Below are 13,894 nucleotides of genomic sequence, written 5' to 3'. Positions count from 1 at the left end.
TGATTATGCCATTGTACTCCAGCTTGGGAGACAGAAAGAGACCTTGTCACAAAAATAAATTTTTTTTTTCTTTGCTTTCTTCCTTTTTTTTTTTTTTTAAAGACAGGGTCTCACTCTTTCAACTGTCACCCAGGTTGGGGTATAACAGCTCAACCTCAGCTTACTGCAACCTCCACCTCCCAGGTTCAAGCGATACTCCCACCTCAGCCTACCAAGTAGCTAGGACTACAAGTGCACACCACCACCCCTGGCTCATGTGTTTTGTGTATTTTTTTGTAGACATTGGGGGTTTTGTCATGTTGACCATTTTTTTTGTAGAGATGGGGGTTTTGTCATGTTGCCTGAACTGGGCTCAAGCGATCCACCCACCTCAGCCTCCCAAAGTGCTGGGATTACAGGTATGAGCCACTGCGCCCCGCCAATTTTTTCCTTTTACTGTCTGTGGTTCCACAACTTCCTTTTTGCCTGTTCTCTATGGACTTTCTACTTCATTTGGACTCTACTTAGATTGGCCTAGTTTTCTCTTTAGTCAAATCTTCAGTAACCAATTTATTACCATTAAAAATGATCTAACAAGCTTTATTTTTATTATTGTTAAAAATTCTCATTTTGAGGAACACAACCACAAAGTAAAGAAAGTTTTCATTGATTTAAGTAAAAAACCAATATTTAATAACAATTTTAAAAACATAGCTCCAGGCCATCCACATGCTTTAACTCATGCTCAGGCTCCTGATATTGATGGGTTGTCTTTGTATTTTTCTGATGCCCTTTTATGTGAATTCACCTGTTTTGGAAGAAAACACAATTAAGGTTATCTATCACAACAACCACTATCTCCAATGTGTATTCATTCCTTTTATTCATTTTAAGTCTCATCTACCCGATGAGATAACTTTTTTGAAGACAGGAATTGTATGCTGTTTAACAGTGCTTTGATTCTTCCACAGTTCAGTCATCCTTGCTACCTTGCAGAGGACTGGTTCTAGGATATCGCCCCCACACCATACCAGAATCTGTGGATGCTCAATACCTTACGTATAATGGTGCAGTGTCTGCATATAACCAACACACCCCCCCCCATATACTTTATTTATTTACTTACTTAGAGACAGGATCACCCTCTGTCACTCAGGCTGGAGAGCAGTGTCACAATCACAGCTCACAGCAGCCGCAACCTCCTGGGCTCCAGTGATCTGCCCACCTCAGCCTCTTGAGTAGCTGGGACTACAGGTGCATACCACCACACTAGCTAATTTTTTTATTTTTATTTTTATTAAAGACAAGGTCTCACTATGCTGCCCAGGTTGGCCTCCCAAAGTGTTGGGATTACAAGTGTGAGTCACCGTGCCTGGTCCCATGTACTTTAGGTCATCACTAATAAAATGTATAGATATTGTATAATGACAACAGTTGTTATACTGTACTTTCTAATTGTATTTTTATTGTTTCTTTCTTCAAATATTCAGCCTTATCTAGTTGAATCTGAAGATGTGGACCTGCTGATGAAGAGGGCTGACTGTATCTAACTTAGGGTCTTGCATGCAGCTGGTACTTAACGCATTTTATTGACTGTTTTAGCTAACATTCAGCGGACAATTCCTAATAAAAAACTCTTAAAAGTATGAAAAAAAGGAAACCTGCTCTAAAGTGGCAGGAAAACCAGCCTGGGCAACATAGCAAGATCTTGTCTCTACAACAAAAGTTTTCAAATTCACTGCCTGCCTGTAGTCCCAGCCACTCAGGAAGCTGAGGCAGGAGGATCCCTTAAGCCCAGGAGTTTGAGGTTACAGTGAGCTAGATCACACCATTGCTCTCCAGTCTGGGTGACAACAAGGCCCTGAGAAAGAAAAAAAAAAGAAAGGAAAGGAAGGAAAGAGTGTAAGTATTGAAAAGGAAGAGACAAAACTGTCATTATTTGCATATAAAATAATAAATGTTAGCCAAAGAAGCCTAAGAGAATCAACTAAGATTTTACTGGAAGTAATATGAGAATTCAGTACGGTGGCTAGAAACAAAATCAAGAGAGCAGCACACAAACCTCAAATGCTTTTCAGATGTACCACCAATAACTAACTAGAAAATGGAAGAAAGATCCCATTTACAATGGCAATACAAATGTCTGAAGTATTTAGGAACAAAAATACAAAGATCTGTTATCTAACAAAAGATGTGTAAGATCTATATGATGGAAACCCTAAAACTCTTCTGAAAGACATTAACAAGAAATGAATTCATGACATGAAATACCATGTTCTAGAATGTCGTACAGATGTCAATTCTCAAATTTATCTACAAATTTAAGGTAATCCTATTCAAATCCCAAGATAGTTTTTGGTGGTGGCTGTTTTTGAGACAAGGTCTCGCTCTGTTGCCCAGGCTAGAGTGCAGTGGTATGACCACAGCTCACTGCATCCTCGACCTCCCAGGCTCAAGCAATCCTCCCACTTCAGCCTCTGAAGTCTCTCATATGGTGTCCAAGAAATGGGGACAAATCTCAAAAAGGGACTAGGCTCAGGAGGGCTGGAATATTCAGGGAAGTTTCTTTCTTTCTTTTTTTTTTTTTTTTTTTGAGGCAGAGTCTCGCTCTGTCCCCCAGGCTGGAGTGCAGCAGCCTGATCTTGGCTGGCTGCATGCTCCACCTCCCAGGTTCATGCCATTCTCCTGCTTCAGCCTCACAAGTAGCTGGGACGACACACGCCCGCCACCACACCCAGCTAATTTTTTGCATTTTTAGTAGAGACGGGGTTCCACTGTGTTAGCCAGGATGGTCTCCATCTCCTGACCTTGTGATCTGCCTGCCTTGGCCTCCCAAAGTGCTGGGATTACAGGCGTGAGCCACCGCACCTGGCCTATTCAGGGAAGGTTTCAAGCAGAAAGATGAACTGAGTTGGCTTTGGAGAGATTCACAGGACTCCCACAGGCAGAGTGAAATAAGGGCATTGTAGATGGACAAAGGCACAGATAAGCAGCAATGGGGACGGTGTGACTGGGGGACGCTGAGGGGCTGCTGTGGCTGGAATGGAGGGCTGCCACCATAATGGAAATGGCCAATGAGGCAAATAAGGTTGGATTAGGAGCATAGCATCAAGGGTGCCAGCTTATTAAATCCCTCTTCCAGTGTGCTAGCACTGGCCTGCTGGGAAAAGTAATACATCACATAATCAAACAAAAGGCAAAAAGAGGCGAGCTCCAGGAATGGGCACTGTAAACAGGACTCGCCCCAGGGTAGCCAGATGTAGGCTTTAGATTTGTTGATGCAGGTTGAGCATCTCTAATCCGAGGGGGAATGTCTCATATGGTGTCCAAGAAATGGTGACACATCTCACAGAGGGCCTAGGCTCAGGAGGGCTGGAGTATGAGACATTCCCCCTCCCCTGTGAATTTGAAAACGTGGCCAAAATTTTTTTTTAAAAATGGCTACCCTGTAGTTCTTTAACTGGACCTATTTAGACAACACCTTACACACTGGAGAAGGATGATACTATGTGAATCTAATAAGTCTACAAGACAATACTTCTCTCTTTTGGCTGTCTTCTTCCTCTCCAGGGTGATTACAACTCCGTGAGGGTGGAGATTATATGTCTCTCATCATTTAAGCAACAAGGAAATAAATTAGTGGCAGAGTAAGGGGTGACTCAGTGAGTACATCCAATTGTTGACATAGTTTTGGGTGGGAGAAATTTTGCTATTATATCAACTTAACTTCTTAAAATAGTCTAGTGGGATTAACTTGGTTTTATTTCACAGAGACCTCCTGGAAGCGAGGATCCTTTAACAATCCTGGAATATACATTGCAGTAAAAGAACAAAGCACACCTCAGCCTTAAATGACAGAAGAAGAATGTCAAGTGGGAAAGTGACGTTGGTTTTCAGTTTGTGGATTCTGAATCCACACAAACACAGGATTGTATTCTGAAAACCTGAATTAATTATTGTCCTTACCTCTATAAGACAAAAAATTATAATCAAAATTATTAGTATTACAGTCACAGATATTGCGAAGATGAGTTTGTTCTTATAGTCATCTCCTGGAACTTCTTTCATGAGCTAAAAAAAAGAAAAAAAAAAGAAAAAAGAAAGAACAATTAAAAAAAAAGAGAGAGAGAATGGAAGCTAACTTTTCAAAACCCCAGTATGCCAGTTGAGTAGCTTACAGGTTCTTTTGTTCTTTTTATTTTTTTTGAGACAGGATCTCACTCTGTCACCCAGGCGGGAGTACAGTGGTGCGATCACAGTTCACTACTGACTCGACCTCCCTGGGCTCAGGTGATCCTCCCACCTCAGCCTCCTGAGTAGCTGGGGCTACAGGCACGTGTCACCACACGCAGCTAATTTTTGTATTTTTTGTGAAGACGGGGTTTCACTACGTTGGCCGAGCTGGTCTTAAACTCCTGACCTCAAGTGATCCACCCACCTCGGCCTCCCAAAGTGCTGGGATTACAGGCATGAGCTACCACCCCCGGCCTACAGTTCATCTTGTGCCCTAATCTATTTCACTGTCTACATGAGCAAAGTGGGAGATCACTGTCATGGCCAAAGTTACATGGCCAAGACAAGCTATGGCCTGGGAGTCCCAGGTTCTCCTATGTGGGCACTCTCCTGGCATACGCTAAATGATGGGAAATCTGGGTCTCATGTTTCTGTGTGGTCCTCACCTCACTTGACTTCTGCTCTTTCTGTTCATTCTGTTCCATGTTCTCATTAATATAATTTGTTTTTTGTTGGTCCGTATCCCATTCTACATTCAATGCCTTTGCTTCCTGCTGCTCGCTGAGAAGCTTCATCAGGAGGCCTGTTCGCAACATGAGCTTGGCACAGCTCCCTTGCACATGTGTTTCTGAACATTCCATTTTCAAGGTCCGGATAACATGAGACATGAACTTTCTCACATCCTCGTTGGGGATGAGGGACCGTAGCTGCTCGGTTAGCTGAATTTCAAGCTGATCACCTGGGGACGAGAGCAATGGGTAATTGAAGCTTTTGGGCTCAGGGGACAAGTCAATGCCCACATTGTTGTATTCCCATTTTGTCTCAGTTTGTTTAACAGTTGGTTCTAAGTTGAATGCAGTCCCAGCGGAAACTGCCTCAGGAGGATGATTGTAGTTTGTGTTTTCAGAGATGTGTCTTTGAACACATCTCTTTTGTGTCTTTTACATTAGTTGTGTCTTTTACACTAGTGTTTTCTATAAAACGTTCTGAAGGAGCAACTACTTCCAGAAGAGGGTTTTCTTGAGGACTCAGGTCTCCTAAGGATGAAAAAACCCCTTGCGAATTTATGAGGCTCTTCGCTGCAGAGAACAGCGGCCTCTTTGCGAGCATCGGTCTGTTGAGATAACTGCCCTTTCTAAACTTTCTAATCTTTTTGGCCTTCGGTGTTCTGTGGGCCACACGGGAGTGAGTTTTATAAAAGCGGTATTTTTTTCTGGAATGTGTGATTGGTTTAGCAGCCTTCATGTTTTTCACTCTAGCCATTGCCATTTCTAAAATTAAAATGGTGTAGGCTAAGTCTTTCGATCTGTCTCTGACCTGAGGTAGGGCTTTTGCAGGGCTAGAGGCAGAAGGCACGCCCATGGAGAAGGGTTTCAGCACAGAGGAGACTGCTGCCTTATGCTCTTGGGTGAATGAAGGCTTGGTGTAGATGGTGTTTCCCACTACCTTCTCAGGCCCCTGCACTATGTGAGGCTGTTCCAGCTCCCTTGGGGCTGGACCCTCAAGCCTTTTTCCTTTGGCAGCATTGTCCACAAATGCCTGGGCATCCTGTTCTTTCCTAGTGCTGTGCTTTCCCACCTTTTTGAAGTGCCTTTCCTGGATGCTCCTTGGGCCCATGAGGACTCTGTTCACTCTCTGCAGGTTTTTGCCTACACTTTGAATCTGCCAGGCTGTTTTCCTGTGGTTGCACAGTTTCTAATTTTTTTTTCAAATATTTGGTTTTTAAATTTGTTACCTAGAAGGCTGGACTGTGAGGGGCTCTTTCTATTGTTTTTCAAAATACTCAGGAGCCTATCTCCATCTTGTACATTTGAAAATAGCTGTTCAGTGAACGGTAACAATATTGATTCTGCACCTAGATTTCCCAGTGAGAGATAAGGCAAGATGTAACTTAGTGCACTGCTAACATCACTCTCGTCATTGGTGTCTAGCTGCTCACCCCCAAAGCCTGACAAGTTGATGCCACTGCTGTCTGAGGGCGCCTCCGACTCAATAGTCAGCTGAGTGCTCATGTGCTGCTTCCGGGCTTGTAACATCTTCATGAACGCTCCTTCTGGATTCCCTACAGATGCTTCTTCAGCTGTCAGAAAAGAAGAGACTGCTTTGATCATGAAATATCTTTGATCATCTTTCATACTCAGTCCATAGCTATATGCCCCAGTCACACAGAGTAAGAGTCAGCAAACATTCGAGTGCCATTCAGAGAGGAGAAACATACACCCAAACCTAAACCTATGAAATGGCAACAACGAAAGGAGGAAAAGACATGGCCACCTACTTGGAACATTCCATAGTGTGACATAGAGTAACTCTGCTTAGGATTATTCCGTTGATCCCCAGGGGCCAATTGCCCAGTGCTCAGTCAAAGCCCAAGGTGGAAGACAAGTGCTTCCCTGATGAGCTGATGAACTGGCCTCTCTGCAGACTGCTCCATACCCTGTGCTGTCCTGCCTCATATGCAGAGAGAGCACAAGGCTCCCACTCTCCTCATCCTCAGTGTGCCCGTGTTCTTGCTACCATCGCAGCTGAATGCAATCAAAGGCGGTCCTCTGAGAGGAGCAGGGTGGAGATGCTAAAGGAGCAGGGCGGGATGCCCCCTCCCATTGCTGATAGATCCTCATCTGGCATGTGCTCCACCCACCCACCCCATTCTCTGCTCCCACATATCATAGCCCCATCACAGAAGATGCGACATGGAAAAAAACACTGTGTCCACCTTAGTTCTTTTCTTAAATTTGGGCAGGGATCCAGGGTGTAGGTTAAGAGATTTTTAATTTGCCAGATTGTATGCCTATGTTGTTAAATATACAATGAATCTATGGTATGGTAGCAGTTTCTGGATAAACATTACTTGAGGTCCTAAATGCAGAAGGGAAAAAGTGACTTTTGTCAGATGCCTACTTCACTTTCATTCATCTCTAATATTTTGGATGGGGAACCATCCAAAGCTTCTGACTGCATGAAGGTCAAGTGTGCCAGTGTGCAGCTGGGCTTCTTTTCCAGAATTAAAAGTATTTTGGGTGGTGCTGAAGGTCAGCGGAAGAAGTAAAGATTGCGAGAAAGGAGAAACATGGGCTTGGGGAGAACCCAGAATTGGGGACAGAAGACCTGGCACTAGGCTACAGCACTTAGCACCTCTGATCTTGTTTTTCCTCACCTGTAAAAGGAGATTAACAATGCTTTTCTGCCCACCTCTTGGGGAGAAGGGAAGAATATAATTGGTAAAAAAAAAAAAAAAAAAGAAAAAAAGAAAAAGTTTTGAAAAATAAGCAACACTGTCTTTATAGAAGTAGCCAAGCATTATTAATTATCCACCCCATATCACTGGTAGATACCTGTATTCAAGCAGTCACATTTTAGAAGTCATGAAGTTGGTGCTAATAAACCTAATCTACAGAAAAACTCTTGAAAAAACTTGAGCATTTGTTCTGCGAATAGAAAGGTTTGAGATTCAGAGCAAGTTCAGAGTTGGATGGACTAAGAATGGAAAAGCCCCATTCCAATAGAAGAGCCAGGTAGCAATTTCTGGTTATGGAACCAGAAGCTCTCAGGCTTCAAATAAAACAGCATCACTTCTACTCTTATAAAACTGTAAAAACAAAAACAAAAACAAAACCGGATCTACATCTGTCCTAAAAGGCAGAGAGTACTTGAGACCTCACAGATATAAAACCAGCTTACAAACTACATTGCACTATATGAAGAAATTATCACTGGGGGCAAAGCACCAAGCAGAGAGCACAGTACACAGTGTGTGGATGTTAATGTTATTCCCTAGCCTTCCCATTTCTTTCTCTTGGTCCTTTATGCATATGGAACTGTTCCATTATTAAATTTTGTAATAATAACTGAGAACCTGACTCCCAGCAAGGGAGTCATTCAGAAGTTGAGGGAGTTGAAATCTGACTGAGTAAATAAAACAATTATATCATCAGCTTAAAATTTCATCAATTAAAAATAAAAATTTAAAAACAAATACTTAAAATAATGTAACAATTTATCACCAGGCAATTTGGACTCACGACAATGTATGCTGTTAGTCAGACATGCAGTGTTGCAATGCAGCTTGACTGTCTTGCAGACAGCCTCAATGCTATTTTTAAATTGGCAGAGGCAGCAGGCCATATGGCTAGGTAAGATCCTATAGATGAAAACACAAAACAATAAATTAGTGGTAAAGCGGTTACTTGAGTAGGTAAAGGAGGCAGCCAACGCTACCACAGGGCTGGGCAAAGAGGTGTTACTGAGACCCGTGGACTGGACACTTGGGTAGGAACCAGAAGGCCAATGGGAAGGAGGACACAGGTGCCCAACTGAAGGGTAAGCATGGCAGTGAGTATGGTATGCCTAGAATAAAGGTGGTTGGGATTAGAATTGGGTGACACTGATCAGTAGTTTAAATTCAGAGGTATCTCTTCCCGACTCAAAAGTCTCACTTTGGGCTGAAAGATACAGGAAGAAGGTAGACTTCTAAGAAGAGTCTGAATAAGCCCCCAACTTCTGAAGGCCCTTTCTCAATTTCTGTTGGGAGTGGGAAGTATTAGAAATTACTCTAGGCATTAAAAATAGCTCAGCTTAACCTGGATTGTGGGGTTAAAAAAAATAACGGAGATTGCATTGGCCAAATCTGGACAATTTGAGCATTCAAAAGAATAACAACAATAAGCTACAACATAATATATAAAAAATCCATGAAGAATGATATTTTAAAAGAGGGGGAGTTGTTCTTTAATGAAATAATGATAGCTAATAAATGTAGAAGGAATGACAGAATTTTAAAAAGTGTCACTTTGCAACCACCAATGTAATAAAAATAGATTCAGACAAAGATTATCACTGATGGAGTTGGGTGAAAAGACATTTGAGAACAGGATCTTCACTGATCTCAAAGTACCACCCCACAGATTTTTTATTAATTATCAAAGGGAAAAGTTATTTTTTATTTTTTTATGAGACAAGGTCTCAGTCTGTCACCTAGGCTGAAGTACAGTGGCAAAATCATAGCTAACTGCAGCCTCGACCCCCTGGGCTCAAGTGACCCTCCAAATTCAGCCCCCCAGATAGATGGGACTATAGGCTTGCACCACCACCCCAGCTAATTTTAGTTTTTTATTTTTGTTATTTTTAGTAGAGACAGGGTTTCACCTTGTTGTTCAGGCTGGTCTAAAACTGGACTCAAGTGATTTGCCCATCTCGGCCTTCCAAAGTGCTGGGATTACAAGTGTGAGCCACCACACCCAGCAAAATAACCACAGTGGAGAGATCTGGAAGATCACCTTAAACAAGTGATCAAACTTAGCATTATGAGCCACCTGGGGTCACGAGGCAGGAAAGATACGTCACCTATGCAGTATTCTTCCCAAAGATGCTTACCTTGAATCTCATGTGGAAACAGAGAAATCCAGATTGTGGGACAACTTACAAGACAACTATCTTTGACTCAAAAAATGCCAATGTCATGAAAGATCAAAAAAAGTAGAGGCATGTTTTAGATTAAAGGAAATGAAGACATGACATGCAGTGCCTGATCTTTGACTGGATTCTGTAGTATTCTTTCATCTTTCTGGCATGTTTGAATTTTTTTCAAAATATAAATTTGGGCAAAAGAGATAACCAAGATAATTGATTAATTTATTGTTATGGCTTCTTGGGGGCAGTTTCAGAGAAATAAAAACAATCTCTGTAACTGGAATAAATTCTCAAGGTTAATCTTAAGCAGTATAGCATGGTCATTAAGAATACAGATTCCACAGCCAGACTAGGCTTAAATCCCAGCTCTGTGAATAATGTAAATTTGGGCAAATTGCTTAATCTCTGTTCCTTGGCCTTGTCATTATAATAGTACCTACCTCAAATGAGTTTTGAGGATTAAATGAATCCCTACCTGAAAAATGTCTGGCACACACTGAGTGATCAATAAATGTTAACTACTGTAAATATTACATTATAGAAGTTGTAGGGGGGGCCTCTTTTGAGTCCTCTAAAAGGATGACTTTGTTAGGGCCACATTAAGACTGTGGAAACAGAAGAGTATTCAATGGATACATGAAGTCTGTGAGTTGGGGGTATGATGTATAGAGTTTTAAATTAAAACTGTATCCAGTAAGTTGGCCTGATACATCTTTCAAACCTATAGAGGAATAATCACAAGTGACTCGTATTCCTTTGGGTCCAATAGAAGCCTCTGATCTTCATATAGATTGAATGTACCCAGAACCATAACCTAGCATTTTACTTATATAGCAACCTTAACTCTGACACAAAGATGTTTCTTTTGTTTTGAGGCTGAGTCTCGCTCTGTTACACAGGTTGAGTGCAGTGGTGCAATCTCGGCTCACTGCAGCCTTTGTCTCCTGGGCTCAAGTGATCCTCCCGCCTCAGCCTCCTGAGTAGCTAGAACTACAGGTGCGTGCCACCACACCTGGCTCATTTTTGTATTTTTTGTAGAGATGGGGTTTCACCACGTTGCCCAGGCTGGTCTCAAACTCCTGAGCTCAAGCAACCCCCTCTCCTTGGCCTCCCAAAGTGCTGGGATTACAGGCATGAGCCCAAAGGTTTTGTTATTCTCTTCCTGCCTCCAGCTTTTGATTTTAAACATTTTCTTTTTTTCCTTTAAGGCTTAGGATGGCTAGGAAGCATTTTCAAATGGTATAATGAACACCTGTATAACTTTCATCTGGAATCAACAGTAGCTAATACTTTGCCACATTTCCTTTCCATGTGTGTATGTTTATACATTTTCTGGACAAACCATTTGAGAGTCAGTTGCAGACATAATGACCCTTCACCATTAAAGACTTCAGTGTGCAGCCCCTAAGAACCAATGCATTCTCCTCCATAACCAGAAGACTCTCATCACCCAATGGAACTTAATATTATCATTGCCTACTATGCATTCCATATACACATTTTCACAATTGTCCCAATCATAACATGGCTTAAAAAATTCAGAATCCAATCAAACATCAGACATTGCATTTTGTGTTCATGATTTTTTTTTTTTTTGTAGAAAGACCTTTAATACTTCTGTTTACAAAATTCGGGCATACATTTCAGTTTGCCCTGAACCGTGCCCAAGGCTGTGTGCTCATCTCTGCCAGGGTGTCTGTGCCCTTCATGTACTGCCGACCACGAGGGTGCAGAGCAGAGCCTGGGGTCCGGAGGCTTTGCTGGGCCTCAGGGGGAAGGGAATGTGAATGTGGCCCAGCCCAGAGGACCCTCCATTTCGTCGATTTTGGATTGGGCGACAGAGGAAGCAGATGTCGGGGCTGCAGACATGCTGGCCTGGACAGGGGTCTGGGGACCCCGGGGCTGCCTGCCGTGGTCTAGAGGAGATGGCTGGGGGCCACTTCCCACAGGGTGGGGTGGCAGCGGCTTGGCAAGGGGAGGCCTGGCTACCAGGGGCTTGAACATTTGCTCACTGGAGCCTTTGTGCTTGGCCCTTAGCAGCACGGCTGGGGCTGTGGTCCCGTGCGAGGTGTGCTGGGGGGGTGTGTAGGTGGCTGGTGGTGGCAGCTTGTGCCAGAGTGACACAGGCTTCCGTGGGCCTGGCTGGGGGCAGTTAAAAAGCTGAAAAGGTACTTGGTGTGTGAGGGTAAGGCTTGGGAGGCAGGGCCCTAGAGGAGGCCATGTTCTCTGTCCTGGTTGAGGGGAGCAGTATGGGGGGGAAGGTGGGGCAGATCCCAGCTGGCCTCTGTCTCCTGGTTGCAAGCTGACAGCAGGCCAGGGAAACAGTGAGGCCCTCTGCCCTGGCCTTGGGGAGAAGGAGTGCATGTGTGAGGCTGGGGTACTGTGGCCCTGGAGTGGGGCTAGGGTTCATCGCCAGGAGCAGGCTTGTGGAGGGATTTAAAACCAGGGTCCTGTCTCTGAGCCACCCCACAGGGACACTCGATCCAAGCCTGTTAAGGCCGTGGAACTCGAGGGTAGGCTGTGGGCTGGGCCCCCATGGGGTCAGGACGGAGGTGGGGGCTGCCCTGGAGGAACATTAGTGTTTCTGAGAGCACCTTAGTGTTGCCCCGTCTGGGCCAGCTGGGTGAGGAGTTGGGGAGCAGGGAGGAGGCCGGCGCCATGGAGTGAGGAAGGGAGCCGTCACCGTTAGGGGTCAGCGCTAGTTTAAACAAGCGTCCCCACCCACCCAGATAAGCCTCCCACCCAAGTGTGGCTCCCTGCTGAGGGAGTACCTCAAGGGCCCGGGCCTGGGTGGCGCCGGCAGGCTTGGACACCGCCTTGGCAGCAGGAGCCCATGGAAGGCAGGAGACCTGGCGGGGGTGCCACCCAGTGTGGATGGAGGGGCGGGGCGGGGGCACCAGTGAGTCACTGGGCAGAGGCATGAGCACGTCCATGTAGCTGAGCAGGAAGAAGCCCAACTGGCTGTCCAGCATGCCCTGGTACCAGTTCTCGTTGATCTGGTTGATCAGCGTGAAGACGTCACCCTCATGGAAGCCCAGCTCCCCATGGTTCTCAGGCTGGAAGTCATACAGCACCTTGCAGCTTGGCTGGTCTAGGGGCGGCATGCTCCTGCTAGGAGTCCAGATGGACTTGTCGGAAGATCGGAAAGGGGATGAAGCTGCAATCTTGGGGACTGTGGTGCAGGGGAAGCCCCCATTGGACTGCTCAGGCTCTCCGAGGTCAAAGGGCTCCCAGAACTTGGGCTTATACTCCCGCTTGGGGCGTGAGGAAGCTTCCCGCATCCTGCGCTTGAGCTTCTCTGCCAGCTCGTCCAGGATCTGCATGGCCTGCCAGTGGTAGTTCAGCTGCGCCTCCGCCAGGGCCCGGAGTTGACTCACCTGCTCAATGTTGGTCTCCAGGAGGTTGTGCATGCTGGTTTCTGCTACCTCCTTGGAGTCCTCAAACTTCTCCAGCGCCTGACGCAGCTCCTCATCGGGGATCTTGCCCTGCCGCTTCTTTTAGTCAAAGTCCAGGCGGCGGCCCTCCAGCTTCTGCAGGTGGTGCTGGATCCCCTTCAGGTCTTTCTCACACAGGTTCTGGAGGAGGTCAATGAAGTTCTGCTTGACCTCTATGTCCAGGGAGTCCTTCACCTCTGCCAGGTGCTTCATGGACTCGCCGGCATCCAGCAGTGCGTCACTGAAGTTGGACTCGTTGCCCAGCTCCTTCTGGTGGCGGATCAGGCACTCGCTCAGGAGCCCCTCCAACTGCGGGTAGCCGGGGTTCTTCACCTGGCCCTGGATCTTGCACACTGTGTTGAGCATGGTCAGCTTAGCCTGTGAGGCTGGGTTGGGCTGCAGGTACTTGATGGTCCTTGCCAGCATTTCCGTCACCGCCTTGCTGATGACATCTCCATCTCTTTGAAGTCATCGTCCAGCTTGGTCCCCTCAGCCCCTCCGACCTTCTCACTGACCAGCTGGCTTGCCTTGTAGAACTGCTTTTTCAGCCCTGCAACCGACAGGCTGCCTCCCGCCGCAGAACCTCCGCCCGGACCGTGCCAGCAACAGGCTCCCAGGTGCGTGACCCTCTGCACGCCTCAGGGGCCCCACCACGTGCTTGCCAGCTCTGCGCCTGCCCCGGGGCCACCTCGAGTTCATGATTCTTTAGTCTCCTTCAATCTAGATCTGTTCGCAGGATTGTTTTAAAGTATACTGACAAAACTTTGAGACTGTAAGTGACCTGAGATATACATTATCCTTACTTGAGAATAGTAATTTTTCAATATGCTTTAAAGATT

The 13,894-nt window shown here is 45.4% G+C and overlaps 1 protein-coding gene and 1 pseudogene across 3 annotated transcripts in view, besides 1 other annotated feature; both read right to left on the bottom strand.

Annotated features, from left to right (window-relative positions):
• Positions 1 to 565: 565 nt before the first annotated feature.
• The window catches only part of LRRC37B (leucine rich repeat containing 37B), a 46,105-nt gene continuing 32,776 nt past the window's right edge, over positions 566 to 13,894 (bottom strand). For both annotated transcript variants that reach the window (NM_001321350.2, NM_052888.3), the window contains 5 exons: positions 8,235 to 8,353; positions 6,152 to 6,292; positions 4,659 to 4,951; positions 3,946 to 4,050; positions 566 to 787 (listed from right to left, as the gene is read on the bottom strand). In NM_001321350.2, coding sequence (NP_001308279.1) covers positions 725 to 787; positions 3,946 to 4,050; positions 4,659 to 4,951; positions 6,152 to 6,292; positions 8,235 to 8,353 — 721 coding nt within the window. In that variant the 3' untranslated portion in view covers positions 566 to 724. The remainder of the gene's footprint in view (positions 788 to 3,945; positions 4,051 to 4,658; positions 4,952 to 6,151; positions 6,293 to 8,234; positions 8,354 to 13,894) is intronic.
• Positions 10,868 to 10,951: a non allelic homologous recombination region, noted in NCBI's record as "recombines with the NF1-REPa UWA160-1 recombination region". NCBI's record gives the evidence for it as "EXISTENCE:nucleotide sequencing assay evidence [ECO:0000219][PMID:15236313]".
• Positions 11,221 to 13,717, bottom strand: SH3GL1P1 (SH3 domain containing GRB2 like 1, endophilin A2 pseudogene 1; annotated as a pseudogene). Its single transcript, NR_033412.1, has one exon. The product of NR_033412.1 is annotated as an SH3 domain containing GRB2 like 1, endophilin A2 pseudogene 1 (transcript).

The sequence above is a fragment of the Homo sapiens genome, chromosome 17, assembly GCF_000001405.40.
Source record: "Homo sapiens chromosome 17, GRCh38.p14 Primary Assembly".
Taxonomy (NCBI): domain Eukaryota; kingdom Metazoa; phylum Chordata; class Mammalia; order Primates; family Hominidae; genus Homo; species Homo sapiens.
Note: the sequence above shows the minus strand (reverse complement) of the source record. Positions and strands in the feature narration are given on the sequence as shown.